The following is a 19669-nucleotide window of genomic DNA, read 5'->3' as shown; positions in this document are numbered from 1 at the left end:
GGTGCTGCCGCGGCCTTTTCCTTCCTAGAGCCCTTTCTCATGCAGCGTTGGCTGGGCCTGCTCAGCACTGTGGCAGCTGTCATGGCAGCCAGTGGTCCTTGCTTTGGGCAGCAGTGAGATGCACAGGCCTGGAGTCAGGGCTGGGGCCGACCTGCCGGAGACCCCCTTCCTAGCTGCGTCCCTCACTCGGGGCCGACCGGCCGGAGACCCCCTTCCTAGCTGCGTCCCCCTGTGTGGAGGCCCCACTGGTTCTCCTGAATGCTGTGCCCTCTGCTTCCATGTCAGAACATTTCCCTCCAATGGGCAGGGGCGAACCCACCTGCACCCCCGGGCCCAGGTGCTCCCAGATGCAGAGCAAGCCCACCCAGCGGGGGAAGGCACGGCTCGGGGGCAGGAAGGAGGTGGTGGAGCTGGGGGTGGTTCGGCCCCAAGCACCCTGAGCCTCTGGTTGCCTACTTCATTCTGGCCCAGGCTGCATGGGGGTTTCCAAGGCTGGGGTCAGACTGATGGACAGGGCCATTAGCAGAGATTCAGGAAGAGGAACCGGTTCTGGGAAAACCATCTGCATGCAGAGCCCAGGGGACTGGCCATGCCGGACTCTCCTCCGAGGTCCGGGTGGGATGCTCCAACAGGGCTGGTTTTCCCATGGGCTTTGGGATGAGGGCTTTTCTGGGGAATTCCAGATCCCCCCCAGTCTGTAGGTGCCAAGCTCAGCCTTCTCAGGAAGCCTTGCTGGCCGGGGGTGGGGCTGACCGCGGAGGGGCCCTGAAGGCTGGAGCAGCCTGGGGAAGCTCTGCCGCCGTGGCCGGCTGCGCAGCCTGGAAGGGACGCCTGGCCTCCCAGATCCTCTCCCTCCCCGACAACTAATGTCCAAGACTGACTGCTGAGATTCTGGGATTTGCGGTGGGCCCCACGGACTGGAATCTTCATTAGTTTAGGGGCGGTGGCTGGAGGTAGGAGCCTCTGGGCCCTGTGTGCCCCTCAGCCAGTCACCTGCAGTGACAGTGGGAGCAGGCTCCTGCACTCGGCCCACAAACCTGCTAGCCCGGCTGCATGGTGCGAGGCAGGAGAGAGATTCCGAGAAGCTCCTTCCTGAGCGTGTGGCGGGGGGCCTGTGTATGCTCACAGCTGTAAACAACTAGTATCTCATTCACTGTACAGGGCTAGCGCAATGGGCCATAAACTCACACGGCCATGGTGCCGCACTCAGGGACTGGTCTGGCCGCCCGCGTCCTCAGGGCTACAGAGGAGTGAAGCGTTCAAAGTCTTTCTCTGGGGAAGCCGAAGGTCAAAGGTCGAGCTGTGCCTGAGAGACAGAGGTTCAGGCTGAGGGAGGAGTCCGCATCCTTATGTTCCTCGGAGGTCTCCTCTTGTGACATGCTTGCACACATGCACATGTATGCACACCCATGACCCTGGGACCGTTTGGGGCAGGGTTGCACGGCTTGATGTGCAGTGTTGGGTGGAGGTAAGGGAGGCTCCGGTGGGCTTCTGTTGGCTTTTCCTTTAGCCGAGATCCGTGGCAGAAGACACGGGCCAATCTGTGCTGAGTAGGCTGCATGCAGTTTAAAACTTCTCAAGCAGTTCTTAATCATTTTTATTCTACCCCACATGGCTGAGGCTGGGGACACTCTCCAGACAGCCCCGTGGCTCTCAGGGGCCTGGTCCCAGGAGGCTCGGCGGGATGTGTTTGGGGCACGGGGGTCCGAATGCCCCGCGGGTGGCCTCCTGCCCCCGGCCGCAGTGCTGGGATGCACCTGCCTTTCTACTTTCCACAACTTGGGATCTTTTCTGGCAACTGCTGTGCAATTTTCTAGTATTTTGTATTTGTATAAGAAACATCTTGTTTTTAGGCCCACAACTTGTTCTTTTTCCTAATAGCTTTTCCCCCTACTTGTCACTGACCTGTTCTCTTAGGTGGCTGCATGTTACAGGGGAGTCCCCAGTCTTTGGACTGTTCCAGAGCCCAAGACTAGCTCGGCTGTGCCACTCGGGGAAGCACACTGGAATTCAAATGAGACAGATGTTACTCTGGGAATCATCTTGATCCTCTTAGATCTGTGTGAGAAGAAAACGGTGGACAAACATTGGTGCTTGAGCCGTAATTAGTAAGAAATTGCTGGTGTTCCTCCTCACCCGTGCCTGGTGACAGGAAGTCAGGAGAAGAGAGTGTTTGATCACTTCTAGATCAGTAGGTTCTGACCATGAAAAGTCCCTTTCCGTGTTATCTGTGGGGCAGGGTCACACGGAGTTTCTCTGTGGGGATTGTTCTCCACCAGGGCTTGTTGGTCCAGACCCCTTGAACGGCATTGATGCCTGGCTGGAGAGAGGGAGGGGCCCTGACCGACGTCTGGCTGGAGAGAGGAGGGAGGGCCCTGATCGACGCCTGGCTGGAGAGAGGGAGGGGCCCTGACCGACGTCTGGCTGGAGAGAGGAGGGGGGGCCCTGATCGACGCCTGGCTGGAGAGAGGGAGGGGCCCTGATCGACGCCTGGCTGGAGAGAGGAGGGAGGGCCCTGATCGACGCCTGGCTGGAGAGGGGAGGGGGGCCCTGATCGACGCCTGGCTGGAGAGGGGAGGGGGGCCCTGATCGACGCCTGGCTGGCTGGAGAGAGGAGGGAGGGCCCTGATCGACGCCTGGCTGGAGAGAGGGAGGGGCCCTGACCGACGTCTGGCTGGAGAGAGGAGGGGGGGCCCTGATCGACGCCTGGCTGGAGAGAGGGAGGGGCCCTGATCGACGCCTGGCTGGAGAGAGGAGGGAGGGCCCTGATCGACGCCTGGCTGGAGAGGGGAGGGGGGCCCTGATCGACGCCTGGCTGGAGAGGGGAGGGGGGCCCTGATCGACGCCTGGCTGGAGAGAGGGAGGGGCCCTGATCGACGCCTGGCTGGAGAGAGGGAGGGGCCCTGACCGACGTCTGGCTGGAGAGAGGAGGGGGGGCCCTGATCGACGCCTGGCTGGAGAGAGGGAGGGGCCCTGATGGACGCCTGGCTGGAGAGAGGAGGGAGGGCCCTGATCGACGCCTGGCTGGAGAGGGGAGGGGGGCCCTGATCGACGCCTGGCTGGAGAGAGGGAGGGGCCCTGATCGACGCCTGGCTGGAGAGAAGGGGGGGACTTGATCGACGCCTGGCTGGAGAGAGGGAGGGGCCCTGATCGACGCCTGGCTGGAGAGGGGAGGGGGGCGCTGATCGACGCCTGGCTGGAGAGAGGGAGGGGGGGCCCTGATCGACGCCTGGCTGGAGAGAGGGAGGGGGGGCCCTGATCGACGCCTGGCTGGAGAGAAGGGGGGGACTTGATCGACGCCTGGCTGGAGAGAGGGAGGGGCCCTGATCGACGCCTGGCTGGAGAGAAGGTGAGGACTTGATCGACACCTGGCTGGAGAGAGGGAGGGGCCCTGATCGACGCCTGGCTGGAGAGGGGAGGGGGGCACTGATCGACGCCTGGCTGGAGAGGGGAGGGGGGCCCTGCTGGTTCTCTCGCTGCTGCTGGGGGATCCTGAGCGATCGGCCCCTCAGAGGCGTGAGCAGTTGTCTCCGGGACCTCCGTACCGCTTCCTGAATTCCCCAGCTGGTCCCATCCGTCTGGAATCAGTGGCATTCCTTTCTCTCTCCATCATTTCCTGCTCCATTTAGCGCTCCTCCAGTATTTAGAGAAAGAGTTTCTCAGCATTTGGACCCAAGAATGTGTTTATGGAAATGCTGAGTGAAAATGAAAGACTGGAAAGGAAAAAACACTTCTCACTACATTTTTGCTAAGTGCCTTTTTTTAAGTTTATTTTGCTTTATAAAGTGTATTTCTGTGTTTTCTTTAGGGAAGCCCTTTCTGCCCTCCATGTGCCCTTCCCAGGCCGGGGAAAAGAGCTGGGGTGGGTGGGTCAGGAGGAAAGCGGGGGGTGGAGAGGGAGGGGCAGGCAGCCAATTTCATCTCCAAATAAAAGCACTTTGATTTCTTCCCACCAGATCACGATTCATTGTCATGGGTGACCATTTAGTTCTGTGCTCCCCTGGTTTCCTTCTGGGGGACCCCACGGTGGCACCCACACCCCTGTCGCTGCCCACACCCAAGGCTTCCCTCTGGGTAGCTGCACTGGAACCAGCGGGTTTTATGAACACAAGAATGCTGGTGTTTTTCAGGCAGGATACAGCTGCTGACTTTCAGCAGAGAAGGCCAGGCAGTGGGCTAGCCTGGTCTGGTTAATAATTCATCATAGATTTGTGGATGGTCACACGGAGTGTGCGGAGCTCAAAAGCTGCCACTTGCTTAGACGCTAGTCCAGATTTTAGTGTAATGCCTGTGGCTTAAAAGTGGCGGTGACATCGGTTTTCAAATAAAATATTTCAGAAATATTTGGGACATTTCTATGCATCTAATCAGAAAGTTGTGAGGCTTGTAAAAATGTGCCATGCATTCTTAACTGGTGTGTTTATTAGGATTTGGGGCTAGAGTTGGGATGTGATAGAGTCAGTGTGAGATGGATGACTTTTTGAGGTCACCCACCAAAAGGCAACAACGGCAAGGCAAAAGCTTTTAGTTTTACTTGATGTGTTAATTACAAATATTAGTTAGAGTAAAGTGATTTTTCAGAAGCTTCCCCACCCACTAAAATGTCCTCCCACAGGCACTTGGCTGGGGGGTTTGAGTCACACAGGCGGGGGTGGGCCTGAGTTTGCCCCCCTGGGGTTCCCAGGAGGCAGCTGCAGTCGTCGGGAGCCATGAACTGGGGCTGTCCCAGGATATAAGGGAAATATTGGCTGTGCCTTCCAAGTTATTATAGAGTAAGGGATAAATAAGACAAACCCATGAACGTGGCCACGTATTTATGAGACTCATAATGAGAATTTTCAGCCTCCTTGCAGAGGTGAGCTACTATTGTGCTCGGGAAGATTAAGGCACTTCTAAACGGCTGTTCCCGTGCACTCACGGACACTTGGTGTGCACACGTGCACACGGCAACATCCACATGTGCACACAGGTGCGTGTGCATGCACCCCTCACACGTGCACCCCTCACACACATGCTTACAGGTGTGTGTGCATGCACCCCTCACACACGTGCACCCCTCACACACGTGCTCACCCACAGATGTGCATACAGGAGCATTGCATGCACCCCTCACACACGTGCACCCCTCACACACATGCACCCCTCACACACGTGCTCTCCTCACACACGTGCTCTCACACACGTGCATCCCTCACACACGTGCTCTCCTCACACACATGCATCCCTCACACACGTGCACCCCTCACACACATGCACCCCTCACACACGTGCATCCCTCACACACGTGCACCCCTCACACACATGCACCCCTCAGACACGTGCACCCCTCACACACGTGCTCACCCACAGATGTGCATACAGAAGCATTGCATGCACCCCTCACACACGTGCTCCCCTCACACATGTGCACCCCTCACGCACATGCTCACCCACAGATGTGCACCCCTCACGCACGTGCTCACCCACAGATGTGCACCCCTCACGCACGTGCTCACCCACAGATGTGCATACAGGAGCATTGCATGCACCCCTCACAGACGTGCTCCCCTCACACACGTGCTCCCCTCACACACGTGCACCCCTCACACACGTGCTCTCCTCACACACATGCATCTGTCACACACGTGCACCCCTCACACACGTGCTCTCCTCACACACATGCACCCCTCACACACGTGCATCCCTCACACACGTGCACCCCTCACACACATGCACCCCTCACACACGTGCACCCCTCACACACGTGCTCTCCTCACACACATGCATCTGTCACACACGTGCACCCCTCACACACGTGCTCTCCTCACACACATGCATCCCTCACACACGTGCTCTCCTCACACACATGCATCCCTCACACACGTGCACCCCCACACACATGCACCCCTCACACACGTGCACCCCTCTCACACGTGCACCCCTCACACACGTGCACCCCTCACACATGTGCATCCCTCACACACGTGCTCCCCTCACACACGTGCACCCCTCACACACGTGCTCCCCTCACACACGTGCTCACCCCTCACACACGTGCACCCCTCACACACGTGCACCCCTCATACATGTGCACCCCTCACACACGTGCACACCCACACTGATGCACCCCTCACACACGTGCTCTCTTCACACACATGCACCCCTCACACACGTGCACCCTTCACACACGTGCACCCCTCACACACGTGCACCCCTCACACACGTGCTCACCCACACTGATGCAGAGGATTCTCCAAACCTGCAGGCTCCATGTGAATAGTGGAAACTGTATTTGCAGAGTTAATTTTTCATTAAGCAAAATTATTAGGCTGCCATTGAATAACTTTTTTCAAATAACTTTATTTAAAGTGATAAAAACTTTTATCATTACAAATAAATTAAGCATTAACTCAGTAGTGTTTTGCCTCTTCTAAGGGTTCGTGTGCCGTAAGGTGCAGTTTTCCCTCACGTTTTAATGGCTCTGACGGGCGCCGCTCAGTCACCAGTTTCCCCTTTCCCAGTGGCTTGGAACAGCGGTCTGTCCTACGCTGGAGTCTTTCGGATTCCTCAGAATGCGGCATGTTTATGAAAAAGCATTCATAGGGAGGGGTAGGGATGGGGGTCTCTAGGTTAATAGTGAGGACGGTATTTCTATTTTATGTATGTGTGTTTCAGAGTTGCAAATCACCTCAGATAAAATAGGGCCCCTTAGACAAGACAGCAGGCCTGGCCCGAGGGGAGGGGTGTCTGTGATGACCTTCTCAAGGCCAAAAACTTCAGGACCAGCAGGATTCCTCCAGAGAATGTTTTCTTGAAGAGCGTTAGCTGCGCGTTGCAAGGCTGGCCGAGAGGGCACAGGCCCACAGGGGACCCGGGGTTCCGCCCCTGCGCTGCTGCCAGGCTCTGGCTGTGTGACCTGTCACCCTCCAGGCCTCAACATCCACACTCATGTCAGCAGGGTGATGACAACTTCCCAGGGACCCCAGAACGTCACCCGCCTCAACTGCAGACGCCTCTGAGCACATGTCCCATTCACAGAGCGTTTGGGTTTCTTCTTTAAGCCTGCTGGTTATGACAGAAAGTAAAATATTAACCAAGAAGAATAATCTCACATTTAAATACAGCTTCACACAAACACATACATCTGTAGCAACGTCGTTACAGGAGACTGAGAAGGCGTGGGGGCTCCTCATCATTCCAGGCTGTGCTTTTCCCTTGAGAAGCAATAGAGGTAGGAGACTGCGGCTGTTTCTGACCTCTGGACCGGTTAGAGAGCGTTTGTAGGGTAAAAACATACACAGGAGGCTGTGTGTTATGAGAGGAGCCACCAAATCGGCAGGCGACAGCGAGGGGGACACGAGGCCTGCAGAGGGCGTGGACATGACCAGCTGCTTCGAGGCCTGCACTCTGCCTCCGACGGCTTTATCTCTAGGGCATGAGTCTCTTGCGACAGGAAGTGAGTATTAATGAATCAGTTAACCATTTTCTAAACTGGGAAGTTGTCTTGTGACCAGTCTTCACGCAGGCAGGCACCTCCCCCGCGTGCCCGACACTAACCCAAGCCTTATGTTTTGTGGGACACGTGGCCTCGCCCGGGCCAAGGGTCGGTGTGACTGTCCAGCCTCTGTGTCACCAAGGTGGGGTGTTCATCTATTGAACTCACATCCTCACCAGCCGTCCCAGCCAGGAGACACTCGGGAAAACTGCTACCGCACGGCGGCACAGGGACCGTAAACATGTTACCGCTGGACATAATGGAAGCTGCCGATGACACCACACACAAAGCCCCCCATGGGTTCCAAGTATTTTTACACGGCCAGACCTGGCCCTGTGCCTTGTTCAGCGGCCTCTCTGTGGAGAAGCCTTCTCCTGCCGGGACCTGCAGCATCTCACAGCTGGGGGTGGGGCTGGGGAACCTGCAGCATCTCACAGCTGGGGGTGGGGCTGGGGAACCTGCAGCATCTCACAGCTGGGGGTGGGGCTGGGGAACCTGCAGCATCTCACAGCTGGGGGTGGGGCTGGGGGTGCTTTCACCCACGGCCAGGGGTCGTGCCCGGGAATTTCCCAGCTTACCAGCTTAGCACCCCCGCGTCGTCCCTGGAGCTGGGAGCTATGGGTCTTTCCACTGTTGGTCACGACTCTGCCCTGTCCCTGCACATGAGGGCGGGTGGTTGAAAAATCAAAGCCAAGTAAGCTTTGGAGGGAGCGTGTTTAACCTGCCCTCGGGTTTACACTGAAACCCTGCCCACATGTTATCAAGGGTTACCCATAAACAAAGGTCGGCGAAGGATGAAGAAAAACAAGTTGCTTTTACGAGTCAATTAAATATGTGATAGTGCTCAACTCATTTTGGCCTGTGTGGTTTAAAGACCAGACGAGAATATGCTGTTATTTAAGTAAAGGTAAAATGAGGGTCTGGGCCCATTTTGCACCATTTAGCAAGTGAATGGGTAGCTTTTGTGGTCAGACCTCACTTTGGCTGACAGAGCTAGGAAATGTGCAAGGAGCATTTGCTGATTAGTTCATCTCCCTCCATCCATCCGTGTCCCCGTTCCTTCACCCCTCTGCGTGCCAGGTCAAGATATCCCAGAGAATGTTTCTAGAGGAGTTCTGGACTCAAGTCTAATAAAGGAAACCCCAGGAAATCCAGAACAGAAAGTTAGCGTGTGACAGGAGGAAATTCGTTTTGCACTCCGCAGCTGAATTTGCGGTTGCCTTTCTAACGTCACATGGGCTGTGCTGAGGATAGGCCAGGTCTCTCTCCCCTGCACGGACATCGCAGACGCTCACCGTGGTGGGGTGGATTGATGGACATGGTGAGAGCTGCATGGACATTGCAGATACTACAGACATCGCAGACACTACAGACATCGCAGACACTTGCTGTGGTGGGTGGATTGATGGATGCGGTGTGAGCTATACGGACATCACTCGCCATGGTGGGTGGACTGATGGACGCGGTGTGAGCTGTACGGACATCACTCGCCATGGTGGGTGGACTGATGGACGCGGTGTGAGCTGTACGGACATCACTCGCCATGGTGGGTGGACTGATGGACGCGGTGTGAGCTGTACGGACATCACTCGCCATGGTGGGTGGACTGATGGACGCGGTGTGAGCTGTACGGACATCACTCGCCATGGTGGGTGGACTGATGGACGCGGTGTGAGCTGTACGGACATCACTCGCCATGGTGGGTGGACTGATGGACGCGGTGTGAGCTGTACGGACATCACTCGCCATGGTGGGTGGACTGATGGACGCGGTGTGAGCTGTACGGACATCACTCGCCATGGTGGGTGGACTGATGGACGCGGTGTGAGCTGTACGGACATCACTCGCCGTGGTGGGTGGATTGATGGATGCGGTGTGAGCTGTACGGACATCACTCGCCGTGGTGGGTGGATTGGTGGACACAATGTGAGCCAGCCAGTCTCTGATGGCAACTGTTTTACATTCCCGGGTAGCATTTGTCCCCTCTGGTTTTCTCATTGGCATCTTTCTCTCTTTTTAAGAAATTCGTCAGAAGCAACATGGTTCTTCCCAGTGAGTGTAGCAGAGGTCTGCTTGACATTTTAGATACATTTCTCCAATTCTCCTTCCGTTCCTTGCCAGCCACTATGTGCTGTGCTGAGCTCAAGCCACAGGTGCATCTGCCCAAGTGCAGGGCCCTGTCGGGAAGAGCCGTCTGAGGCCCCCAGTCTCCATGGAAGGAGGTGCCTGTGAGAGACGATGTGCCAGGAGGAGGCCGGTGTGGCTGAGCAGACAAACTTACATTCAGAGAAGCCTCATCCGTGGAAACAGCCCAGGAGGTACAGCAGCTGTTGGGCTCTGGACTTGGCATGTGGCTTATGGCCGAGCATCCCCTTAGGATCATCCCAGCCCTCCAGCTCCTGCCCCCAAGTCGGGAAAGGCTTCCCGTGCATGGCAGGGCCTCCACGGGCTCTGGAGTCCTGGTCGGCCTCTGCTGGGATGGGCTGGGCCTTTCTCTGAGCCCCCAGGCCTTTAGTGCCTCCTAGTCCCACCCTCCAGCCCTCCCTGAGCTAAGCACCTTCCCAGCCCCCTGCTGGCCTCTCATTCACTCTCTGAACGGCGAGTGTTGCTTTTTTGCTGAGGATTCTCTTGGAAACCCTTTGAGCTGAGAGATGAGCCCACAGCGGTGCCTCTGCCTCAGATGTTGGTGTACCCTGCGGCCCCACGGGGAGTGGACGCTGGCAGTCGGGGCACCTTGGCTGTGGGAAAGGAGGACCACGCTGGCCACACAGGCCTGAGTGTGTGGGACCAGGGCAAGCAGGGAGAGCTGGCATACCCCCACCCCATTCTCCAGTTACCAACCCTTAACCCGGGGCTCTCCTAGCGGGGTCCCCATACCTGCAGCACCAGCATCCCCGGGCACGCGTGTGAAGTGCTCGAGGCAGGCCGCACCCCTACAGAGCTGGGGCTGGCGATCTCTTTCCACCGGCCCTGCAGAGAGTTCCCGTCCGGCTGAAATCTGAGACCCCGGTCTAAAGAGTGTGATTCTCTTCCTGCAGAGTATCAGGAGCAGACCAGCTTCCCAAACAGTCACCCGCAGAGCTTCTGCTCCTTCGGGGAGGGCCCTGACTTTCTCGTGGTAGAAATCCTCCACCCGGCCAGGTTCCGGCTGCCCCAGGCCCCCTAGAAGACTCCGGGGATTGCTGAGCAGATGCGGGGCTGCCTGGAGCTGGCCTGGCCCCTGGTGCCCTGCTAATGCCATTTTTTGGTAACACCCATTCACAATAGCCTGGCTGAGGGTTTTGTTCTCCTTCTCTTTATTTGCTATCACTAAATCCATCTGATTAAAAATTAGCCTGGTGTGCCCTTGTCCCAGTTGCTGGGGGGGGTGCCTGGGGGCTGCTGTTTCCAGGGAGAGGGAGGGACAGTGTCACTTACGGGACCACACAAAGGGGCGAATCTGCCTTTTGCTTTTGTCTCTTCCGCTACAGCTCCCACCCTCGCCTGTTCCTTGGAATTAGATAGGGTGAAGTCTGTGCCTCCTTCACCAGCATAAACAGAAGCTATTTTAAGTTGATGGGCCCCAACCCCAACCAAGACACAGGATCCGATGATCCTCTGGAAGCGCCGTCTTTGCTCAAATTGCAGCTGGGGATGTCCTAACTCCTGACCACAGATGGAGGTTTGACATACTCTGCTTTACGCATGAGGTTTTCTAAACAGTTTATGTAGCTAGAGGCTGTTTTGGAGAAACAGAGATGGTCATGGACATAGTTGCAAATACCAAGGCTATCAGTGGACATGGAGACGCTGGGCTCTGTGTGAGGCAGGAAGTGACGTTTCCCTCCTTAGAGGCTCAGCCCGTTAGAACTCGGCCTGCAGCTCGTTTGAGGCTCAGCCCGTTAGAACTCGGCCTGCAGCTCGTTTGAGGCTCAGCCCGTTAGAACTCGGCCTGCAGCTCGTTTGAGGCTCAGCCCGTTAGAACTCGGCCTGCAGCTCGTTTGAGGCTCAGCCCGTTAGAACTCGGTCTGCAGCTGGTTTGAGGCTCAGCTCCTTAGAACTCCGCCTGCAGCTCGTTTGTGGCTCAGCCCGTTAGAACTCGGCCTGCAGCTGGTTTGAGGCTCAGCCCGTTAGAACTCGGCCTGCAGCTCGTTTGTGGCTCAGCCCGTTAGAACTCGGTCTGCAGCTGGTTTGAGGCTCAGCTCCTTAGAACTCCGCCTGCAGCTCGTTTGTGGCTCAGCCCGTTAGAACTCGGCCTGCAGCTGGTTTGAGGCTCAGCCCGTTAGAACTCGGCCTGCAGCTCGTTTGTGGCTCAGCCCGTTAGAACTCGGCCTGCAGCTGGTTTGAGGCTCAGCCCGTTAGAACTCGGCCTGCAGCTCTTTGTGGCTCAGCCCGTTAGAACTCGGCCTGCAGCTGGTTTGAGGCTCAGCCCGTTAGAACTCGGCCTGCAGCTCGTTTGTGCCGTTCCATGTTGCAGTTTTAGGTTTTTTTTTTTTTTACTTTGAGCAGCCCTGGATTATGACAGGTGTCTGGCGATGTCTTTCCTGACCAGAGCGTGGCTCAGCCCCCGACCGGGGCCCACGGCCAGACCCTCACTCTGCTGCCCCCGACCTGGGACACCGTGGCTCTCTCAGGAGGATTCTCACTCCCCAGCCAAGCACAGTCTGTGGTGTCAAACCTGCCGGTGTCCGGATGGGTGTGTCCTGGTGCTCTGAGGCTCCGGTCCGGGCTGTGGGGACGCGGGAGGCTGAGCGGGTGAAGGCGGCTGTGATGTGCGTGTCATGCCCTGTGCAGGTGCCAGGAGGGGCTGTCGGTCCTCACAGCAGCCAGGGGAGGAAGCTTGTTGTGTTTGTTGCTGATGAGGAAACGGGGCTCTGGGAGGGAAGTGCTTTGCCGGCTCACGCTGGGCCACAGCTGCCTGCTGCTTTCCTGAGAAGCCGTGTAAGGAAGGTGGCGGCCGAGTGCGCAGAACCTGTCCTGTGTAGGGCCAGGGGTCATGCAGCTGTGCAGGGAAGCAGCCGCAGGCACGGTGCCGTCCAGTGAGCCGGACTGTATCCATTTCACCTTATTTCAGACACTGAGATTTGAGTTGCACGTAATGTTCACAGGCATGAAATGTTATCCTTTTGATAATTTTTAAATTACTTAAAATCTACCTTGCAGGCGTTACAGCACAGGGTATGGTCAGGGGCCCGGGTCTGTCTCTCCCTGGTCCTGGCAGCCATGTAAGCCCGTAGACCCAGAGCAGGGGTCCAGCTTCCAGGCCCCCCTGGGGACTGCTGAATTCTGTCCCACTGACTTAGATTTTTTGTTTTATTCTGAGCATTTCTGTGTCTGTTGATTCACTATTTTTTTCTGGTTATAGAAGGAATAATTTTTCTTTTACCAACCACCCAGGCTGCAGCCACCTGTGACTGGTCAGGTTTCTGTGATGGGGAGAGGGCCTGGCCCTGAGGTCTGTGTTTCACGGCTCTCACTGGGCTCCGCCAGACGCTCGTTGCCCTGAGGGTGCAGCTGTGGCAGCATCTGTGGGTGGCTGAGGAGACGGGACGTTCACCGGGAAGTTGCGCCCCAAGGGTGTTCTGGGGGCTGCCTCGATTCCCAGAGCTAGACCCACACGATGCTGAGTCTCGTGCCGCCGCGAGGCCACCCCCGGTCAAAGAGACCCAGTCGCCTGCCTCGTGGCCCTGCGCCAGCCCCGCCTCTGGTGACGTCTCTTTGGAAGCCACAGCAGGAGGAGGCTGCTCACGGCGTTTGGAGGCTCGAGGGCCTGGTCTCCAGGTGTGCACAGCCGGGATGGAGCAGAAGGAGGATGAGCTTAAGTCAGAGAGTCCTGGGCTCCAGTTTTGCTTTGACGTTTATGTTGCTTTAAGAGAAAACAGCTCAGCTGTGCTTTTCTCCTCTCCGCGGCCCTCATGGCTGATCTGTATGGAAGATTAGAGAGGACCCTGTGTCAACGTCCGCAGCCCACCGTAGGTGCTGAGTAAATGTTGGTCGGTGTTTTTCTCACTTTATTTTCAAGCTGTCATTGGCTTGGGATTTTGTAAAAGGCAGCTGGGGTGTGGATTGGAGTGGAGCTCTAAGATGCTTGAGGCAAGAGGAGGCTGTGAACAGGAGGGTTTGGACTGGGAACCACGCAGCACAAACGAGCTGAGTTCGAGGAAGGCCTCAGTGCCTTGAAAGGCAGCTGCTGTTTACACTTTTCTCAAGACAGAGGCTTCACGTGGTCGCCGTTCACACAAGTGCCAAGCAAGACCCTGGCACCAGAGGCGTGGACTGAAAATGAAGCCACCTGAACGTCCTGTGACGGTCACGGAGCCGGTCGTGTTCGGGGGCCCGTGTGTGTTTGTCAGGCCAGGACCCTGCCGCCTGCCCTCTGGCTTAAGGAATCCAGTTGGGGAGAAACACTCCCTCTGAGTACCCCTGGGGTTTTGACCCAGCTTGAGGTTGTAAACAGGTGGAGGGGGCCGAGTGGAGAGGCCTTGCTGTGATAGAGACCTGGGCCTGCCCTGCCACCGTCCGCCGGGAGCCCACGGCAGCCTCGCCCTCCGACACCTGCACGCTGCATGCAGTGGACTGAACTGCAGGATGCCTGTGTTGCTGCCAGTTCTGCTGTTTGGGAAAAACTCTCTGTGTTAAGTTGGATCTTCCTTGTGACTGATTCAGAGGAGCCACGTTGTTACGGAAGGGCTGGGACCCAGACACAGGGTCCAGAGTGTCCTCGAGGTATCAGAAGAACTCCTGGAGAGCAAGCTGAGGGCTGTGTCGTCGCCACACCCTCCGTGGGTCCCTGCTCCTGAGTTAGGCTGTGCCCAGCCGCCCAGTGACTCAGAAGCTGTGCACACAAGGTGTGAATCCCACCTTGCTCTAGCACCAAGAAAACAGCACCTGGTGATGGGATGTGGATGGCGGACGCGGGGTGACAGACAGGGGATAATGGACATGGGGTGATGGACGTGGGGTGATGGACATGGGGTGATGGATGCGGGGTGACGGACGGGGGATCATGGACGTGGGGTGATGGACGGAGGATGACGGACGGGGGGTGATGGATGGGGGATGATGGACGCGGGGTGATGGATGGGGTGACGGACATGGGGTGACGGATGGGGGTGATGGACGCGGGGTGATGGACACGGGATGACGGATGTGGGGTGACAGATGGGGTGATGGTTTCAGGGTGACAGACATGGGGTGACGGACGGGGATGACAGACACGGGGTGACGGATGCAGGGTGACAGACATGGGGTGACAGACGCGGGGTGACAGACACGGGGTGATGGGGGATGACAGCTGCGGGGTGACGGACAGGGGATGACGGAGGATGATGGGTTGTGGGATGATAGGACTTCTCAGCACTGGTCGCTCCTGCCTGGGGGTGGGAGTGAATGGGAAGGAGAAAGGCTCGGAGAGGTCCTTACCCAGTGGCCAGGAGTGGGGCTCAGGTTTTTCGTAGTGTTCAGGGGATCCCGCAGAGCCCCTAGGGGATGGCAGGGCCACCCCCACCATGCCGGCGAGGAAGCAGGCTTGGAGAGGCTTACCCTCTGAGGCGGCCGTGGAGAGTGGCACTCAGGGGCTGGCTCAGGTCCCAGGCTGGGTGCGAGCTGATCCGCGTCAGCCTCTGGTTCTGAAACACTGAGCCTGGCTCCATTCTGAAAAGTGCAGCAGTAATTTGAACCTTGTTCTGAATGGCCCCGCTGATTCATCCTGCTTTTGCAGGGTCCTGCTGAAGGACAGCGGCTTCTGCTTCCTCTGATCCTGGCAGCCTGGAACTTCCTGAGAGGACTGGGCATGTGGATAGCCATGGGGGGGGACGTCCTTTAAACTGGGGAATGGGCTCCCCTAGACACAGTCGCTTCCACAGGAATCTTCTAGAGCCTCACCCAGGGCAGAGCAGACACCCGCAGCAGCCTGGAGTTCCGGGGAGCCCTGGCCGCCTGCCTGGGTCATGAGGGACAGGCCAGCCCCCAACCCTTGGGTAGGAAGAGCCCAGCCCTCAGACAGGACAGGCACCTGGGTGAACAGACAGCTTCCCCTGCAGGAGGAGATGCAGCTGTTCAGAAGCAGACCTCCAGCGTGGGAAAATCAGACCCATGGTGTCAGGGTGCACGAAGGCAGGACACACAGGCCCGTCCCCCGCGAGGGTCAGGACACGAAGGAGGGACACACAGGCCCGTCCCCCGCAAGGGTCAGGATACGAAGGAGGGACACACAGGCCACATCCCCTGCGAAGACCAGGACACGAACGTGGGACACACAGGCCTGTCCCCTGCGAGGACCAGGACACAAAGGCAGACACACAGGCCACGTACCCCGTGAGGGTCAAGGTGCCCAGGGTCAAGGCTGGAGCCTGAACGCTGTCCGCAGACCGTGGCTGGATGGAGACTGCCATGTTGAAATGCCTGCACATCTGATCCAGATGTGGCCGTGCACGAGAGAGGAGGTGTGGGCGTGCACACCAAGCCGTCCTTGCCAGATGTGGCTCTGGGGGGGCCTGGCTGAGGGAGGGAAAAGAGTTAACTTTTTCTACCTGGAGACTTAACTGGCTAGAATGAATATCTATTTCTTTGTAATTAAGAACATTTTAAAATACAGAAAAATAGTTTCCTTATAAGACTTTTAATTTTAAACATACGCAGAGCTTTCTAAATGGGACGCAGCATATAGTTTGGTTTCTGTGGGCCGTGTGCCTTCCATGTGCCTGGAGGATGGACAGGTGGTTTTGTAATGTGTGTCATAGTTTGCACCCAGCTGGTTCAGGTGTTAAGCCAAAAACAATTAATAAAGCAGTGGTGGTGATCAGTTCAGACAGAGCCCAACCCCTCCCCACGCCAGGGGCTTATGCTCCGGAGCGGGAAGCGTGTTCTAAGTGGGACTTGGGTGTGAATTTCTACACCTACGCTAAGTAAAATGGGCATTTATTTACAAAGCTCCGAATTACATTGTTTTATATTTTATGTTTAAACTTCATTAGGAAAAATTGCCATTATTGTTACACGTAATGAGTTGACTGTCAATATAAACGAAGGAAATGTTGGCAAAAGAAAAATTAGACCTATCATTTTTATTTACAATAATCTCAAATGCTGTTAAATTTGTAAGCATTTCTGTTGCTTTATAGATGTTTTGGAAAAGCTAATTTTAAGTTTTCAAGAATGAGAAGTTGTCCCCACTGAAAGCCTGGCACGTTAGCGTCTTTCTTTGCGTTAGTTTCTCTCCATTCTTATTTTGCTCCGTGGAGATACGGTGCGCGCACACATATTCAATATTAAACACACATCTGTAAACACACACAGGAAACATTAAACCCATATGTTTCTATGTATTATTGAAAGTTCATCGGAAAAGACAGCAGAGGCCGTGTGCCGCTCTGCCATGCGCCCATCCGGAGGCTGCCGTGTGCCGCTCTGCGATGTGCACCCATCCCAACACCCGGTCATCCTCTTCCTCCCACTCAGTGCCTGCGATTTCCTGCCGTGGCCCCAGAGGAATGGCAGCTCTTTAGGGTCAGGACTGCTCAGCTCAGGGCGGGTGCAAGACGCTCTGTGTGTCAGAGTCTTGCACTGTGGAATGCCCGCTTCCTTTCCCCCACGCTGATTCCCCCACTGTGTAGCTTACCGTAATAGTTTCACAGCTAGCTGACTTCCTTAGGCCACTGGAATATTGATTTGTTCTCATGTTCTCTTAAAAATATTTTTCAAAGATTGAGAAGACACCGTAAATATGCCGTCATGGTCAGGTGTCAGGACAACGGACGGGCTGCTCAGAGCCTGGCCTGGTTTCTGTCGTTTCTGGAATGCTGTGGATGTGCTGCAGACGCCAGTGCCTCCCGTCCAGCCTCAGGCTGGGTGAAGCGAGGCGGAGGGAGCGTCTGGTCAGTGCTGGCCCCGGATGTGCCTGTGGCCTTGTCAGGCAGGAGGCAGGTGAGGAGCTTCGATGCCGGTGGTCCCTGTCCCCGTGCTGGAGGAGGGGGGCTGCCAGTGCTGCTCCTCCTTGGCTGAGGCCTCCTGAGCCCTTTTCCCCTAGGTGTCCCCTCCCAAAGCCGGGCTCCTCATAAATTTGGGGGTACAGAGCTCTGCGGCACCCCTTGGTGGAGTTGCCTCTGGAGAGCTCCACTGCTGCTGTGAACCTGCCTCTGCTTGCTGGTCACACGGCTGCCCAGTGAGCACCCCTCAGTGCAGGGTCCATGGCACCCTGGCATCTCAGAGGGCTGGCGGCTGCTGGGGATGAGGCTGGAGCCCAAGGGCAGGGTGGGGGCTTGCGTGGGGGTCGTCCTCCCAGTCCCGGACCTGCCCTCCTCCTGGGGAGAGCCCCACCCACCCTTCTGAGGTGACGGCTTGGCCCTGGAGACTACCTGCCCTGACTGGGGGCCAGGCGTGCTCTCCATCTCCAGGGATTCTGGGGCTTGGGGAGGTCATAGTCTGTTGGAGGAGGGTGCGCCAATTGGCCAAAGGGTGTTTATGGCCCGAGATGGAAGCTGGGCTCGGGGGGCCGAGAGCCTGGGGGCCACCCTTCCTGTGAGGGCTGCTGACGCTGGTGTGGGCAATGCTCAGGTGAACGTGTGTGGGGAGGGGAGGGGGCGAACGTGTGTGGGGAGGGGAGTGGGTAGCGTGTGTGGGGAGGGTGTGAACGTGTGTGTGGGGAGGGAGGGGTGAGCATGTGTGGGCTGGGGAGGCGGTAGCCCCCCCTCCAGAACAGACACTGCACTGCAGCCTGCACTTGGAGTCTGCTGCTCTCTCAGGCAGTCTTGTCCTGAGTCGTAAATAAGGAACGGAAAACCAAAGTTTCGATTTGCTATTTTCTCCTATTCTGAAGGTGCCATTGAGACGCCAAATCTTGTGCGGTTCAGGCTTTTGGCTGTGGTTCTCCACGGGGTGGCTGATGAGAGGCTTTGTGGCCGGCCCACTAGGAGGGCATCGGATGCTCGCCCTGTAATTGCGCTGGGTGTGCCCGCCACCGGAGTTCCCGCCCCTGATGACAGGGTCAGGCAGAGGCCGGTTCTTGCTAGCTGCAGGTTTTGTGGGTACAGGTCATGGGGTATGGGCTGTGGACTGAGCCTCTGGCCAGGGTGTGGTGGCATCTCAGGCCGCATCACCAGTGGGTGTCTGTGGCTGGGGCAGTGTGGACGCATCGGGGGTGGGTGTCCGTGGCCGGCGGCAGTGTGGACGCATCGGGGGTGGGTGTCCGTGGCCGGGGACAGCGTGGACGCATCAGGGGTGGGTGTCCGTGGCCGTGGCAGTGTGGACGCATCAGGGGTGGGTGTCCGTGGCCGTGGCAGCGTGGACGCATCGGGGGTGGGTGTCTGTGGCCAGGGCAGTGTGGACGCATCAGGGGTGGGTGTCCGTGGCCGTGGCAGTGTGGACGCATCAGGGGTGGGTGTCCGTGGCCGTGACAGCGTGGACGCATCGGGGGTGGGTGTCCGTGGCCGTGGCAGCATGGACGCATCGGGGGTGGGTGTCTGTGGCCGGGGGCAGTGTGAACGCATCAGGGGTGGGTGTCTGTGGCCGGCGGCAGTGTGGACGCATCGGGGGTGGGTGTCCGTGGCTGTGGCAGCGTGGACGCATCGGGGGTGGGTGTCCGTGGCCGGGGCAGTGTGGACGCATCAGGGGTGGGTGTCTGTGGCCGGGGGCAGTGTGAACGCATCAGGGGTGGGTGTCTGTGGTCGGCGGCAGTGTGGACGCATCGGGGGTGGGTGTCCGTGGCTGTGGCAGCATGGACGCATCGGGGGTGGGTGTCTGTGGCCGTGGCAGTGTGGACGCATCGGGGGTGGTGGTGCTGAGCCGAGACTCGGGCTCCGGTGTCATCAGGGGTGGGTGTCTGTGGCCGGGGGCAGTGTGAACGCATCAGGGGTGGGTGTCTGTGGTCGGCGGCAGTGTGGACGCATCGGGGGTGGGTGTCCGTGGCTGTGGCAGCATGGACGCATCGGGGGTGGGTGTCTGTGGCCGTGGCAGTGTGGACGCATCGGGGGTGGTGGTGCTGAGCCGAGACTCGGGCTCCGGTGTCAGGTGCTCCTCGGCGGCTTGGTTCTGTGTCCCCCGTCCCCCCGTCCCCCGTCTGGGAGCCGCCCGACCTTCCCTTTGGATGTAGTGTGTGTCTGGGGCTCTTGGTGTTCTCTGTGCTTTGCAAGGGTGAGAGCTACCCCAGAGAGAATGCCAGGCTCTTCCCAGACACCCCGAAGGGCCAGGGCAGCCTTCACTGTGCTGAGGCTGGCTGTG

The 19669-nt window shown here is 57.6% G+C and overlaps 1 protein-coding gene and 2 long non-coding RNA genes across 6 annotated transcripts in view, besides 8 other annotated features; 2 read left to right on the top strand and 1 right to left on the bottom strand.

Annotated features, from left to right (window-relative positions):
- Positions 1-19669, top strand: part of RASA3 (RAS p21 protein activator 3) — a 154841-nt gene that overhangs the window by 9682 nt on the left and 125490 nt on the right. The window lies entirely within an intron of this gene.
- Positions 3128-3469: a silencer, noted in NCBI's record as "fragment chr13:114884948-114885289 (GRCh37/hg19 assembly coordinates)". NCBI's record gives its function as "represses an EF-1alpha promoter that drives an FKBP-Casp9 reporter gene in an ReSE screen in K562 erythroleukemia cells {active_cell/tissue: K562}" and the evidence as "EXISTENCE:reporter gene assay evidence [ECO:0000049][PMID:32094911]".
- Positions 4303-5254: an enhancer, noted in NCBI's record as "H3K27ac-H3K4me1 hESC enhancer chr13:114883163-114884114 (GRCh37/hg19 assembly coordinates)". NCBI's record gives its function as "activates a minimal SCP1, AML or CMV promoter by ChIP-STARR-seq in naive H9 embryonic stem cells {active_cell/tissue: H9 hESC(naive)}" and the evidence as "EXISTENCE:reporter gene assay evidence [ECO:0000049][PMID:30033119]".
- Positions 5255-6207: an enhancer, noted in NCBI's record as "H3K27ac-H3K4me1 hESC enhancer chr13:114882210-114883162 (GRCh37/hg19 assembly coordinates)". NCBI's record gives its function as "activates a minimal SCP1, AML or CMV promoter by ChIP-STARR-seq in naive and primed H9 embryonic stem cells {active_cell/tissue: H9 hESC(naive and primed)}" and the evidence as "EXISTENCE:reporter gene assay evidence [ECO:0000049][PMID:30033119]".
- LOC124903221 (uncharacterized) lies at positions 6320-7377 on the bottom strand. The gene is made up of 2 exons (XR_007063883.1): positions 7122-7377; positions 6320-7041 (listed from the first exon to the last, which is right to left on the bottom strand). It is a non-coding gene; the product is annotated as an uncharacterized LOC124903221 (long non-coding RNA).
- Positions 7246-8110: an enhancer, noted in NCBI's record as "H3K4me1 hESC enhancer chr13:114880307-114881171 (GRCh37/hg19 assembly coordinates)". NCBI's record gives its function as "activates a minimal SCP1, AML or CMV promoter by ChIP-STARR-seq in naive H9 embryonic stem cells {active_cell/tissue: H9 hESC(naive)}" and the evidence as "EXISTENCE:reporter gene assay evidence [ECO:0000049][PMID:30033119]".
- Positions 8334-9533: an enhancer, noted in NCBI's record as "BRD4-independent group 4 enhancer chr13:114878884-114880083 (GRCh37/hg19 assembly coordinates)". NCBI's record gives its function as "activates an origin of replication core promoter dependent on BRD2, P300/CBP, MED14 and CDK7 cofactors, and independent of BRD4, by STARR-seq in HCT116 cells {active_cell/tissue: HCT116}" and the evidence as "EXISTENCE:reporter gene assay evidence [ECO:0000049][PMID:35650434]".
- Positions 9739-10334: an enhancer, noted in NCBI's record as "NANOG-H3K4me1 hESC enhancer chr13:114878083-114878678 (GRCh37/hg19 assembly coordinates)". NCBI's record gives its function as "activates a minimal SCP1, AML or CMV promoter by ChIP-STARR-seq in naive and primed H9 embryonic stem cells {active_cell/tissue: H9 hESC(naive and primed)}" and the evidence as "EXISTENCE:reporter gene assay evidence [ECO:0000049][PMID:30033119]".
- Positions 11409-11563: a silencer, noted in NCBI's record as "fragment chr13:114876854-114877008 (GRCh37/hg19 assembly coordinates)". NCBI's record gives its function as "represses an EF-1alpha promoter that drives an FKBP-Casp9 reporter gene in an ReSE screen in K562 erythroleukemia cells {active_cell/tissue: K562}" and the evidence as "EXISTENCE:reporter gene assay evidence [ECO:0000049][PMID:32094911]".
- Positions 12235-12870: an enhancer, noted in NCBI's record as "H3K27ac-H3K4me1 hESC enhancer chr13:114875547-114876182 (GRCh37/hg19 assembly coordinates)". NCBI's record gives its function as "activates a minimal SCP1, AML or CMV promoter by ChIP-STARR-seq in naive H9 embryonic stem cells {active_cell/tissue: H9 hESC(naive)}" and the evidence as "EXISTENCE:reporter gene assay evidence [ECO:0000049][PMID:30033119]".
- Positions 13163-16628, top strand: RASA3-IT1 (RASA3 intronic transcript 1). The gene is made up of 2 exons (NR_046544.1): positions 13163-14301; positions 15174-16628. It is a non-coding gene; the product is annotated as an RASA3 intronic transcript 1 (long non-coding RNA).

Source organism: Homo sapiens, chromosome 13 (assembly GCF_000001405.40).
Source record: "Homo sapiens chromosome 13, GRCh38.p14 Primary Assembly".
NCBI classification, from domain to species: domain Eukaryota; kingdom Metazoa; phylum Chordata; class Mammalia; order Primates; family Hominidae; genus Homo; species Homo sapiens.
The sequence above is the reverse complement of the archived record's forward strand: the minus strand, read 5'-3'. Positions and strand labels throughout refer to the sequence as shown.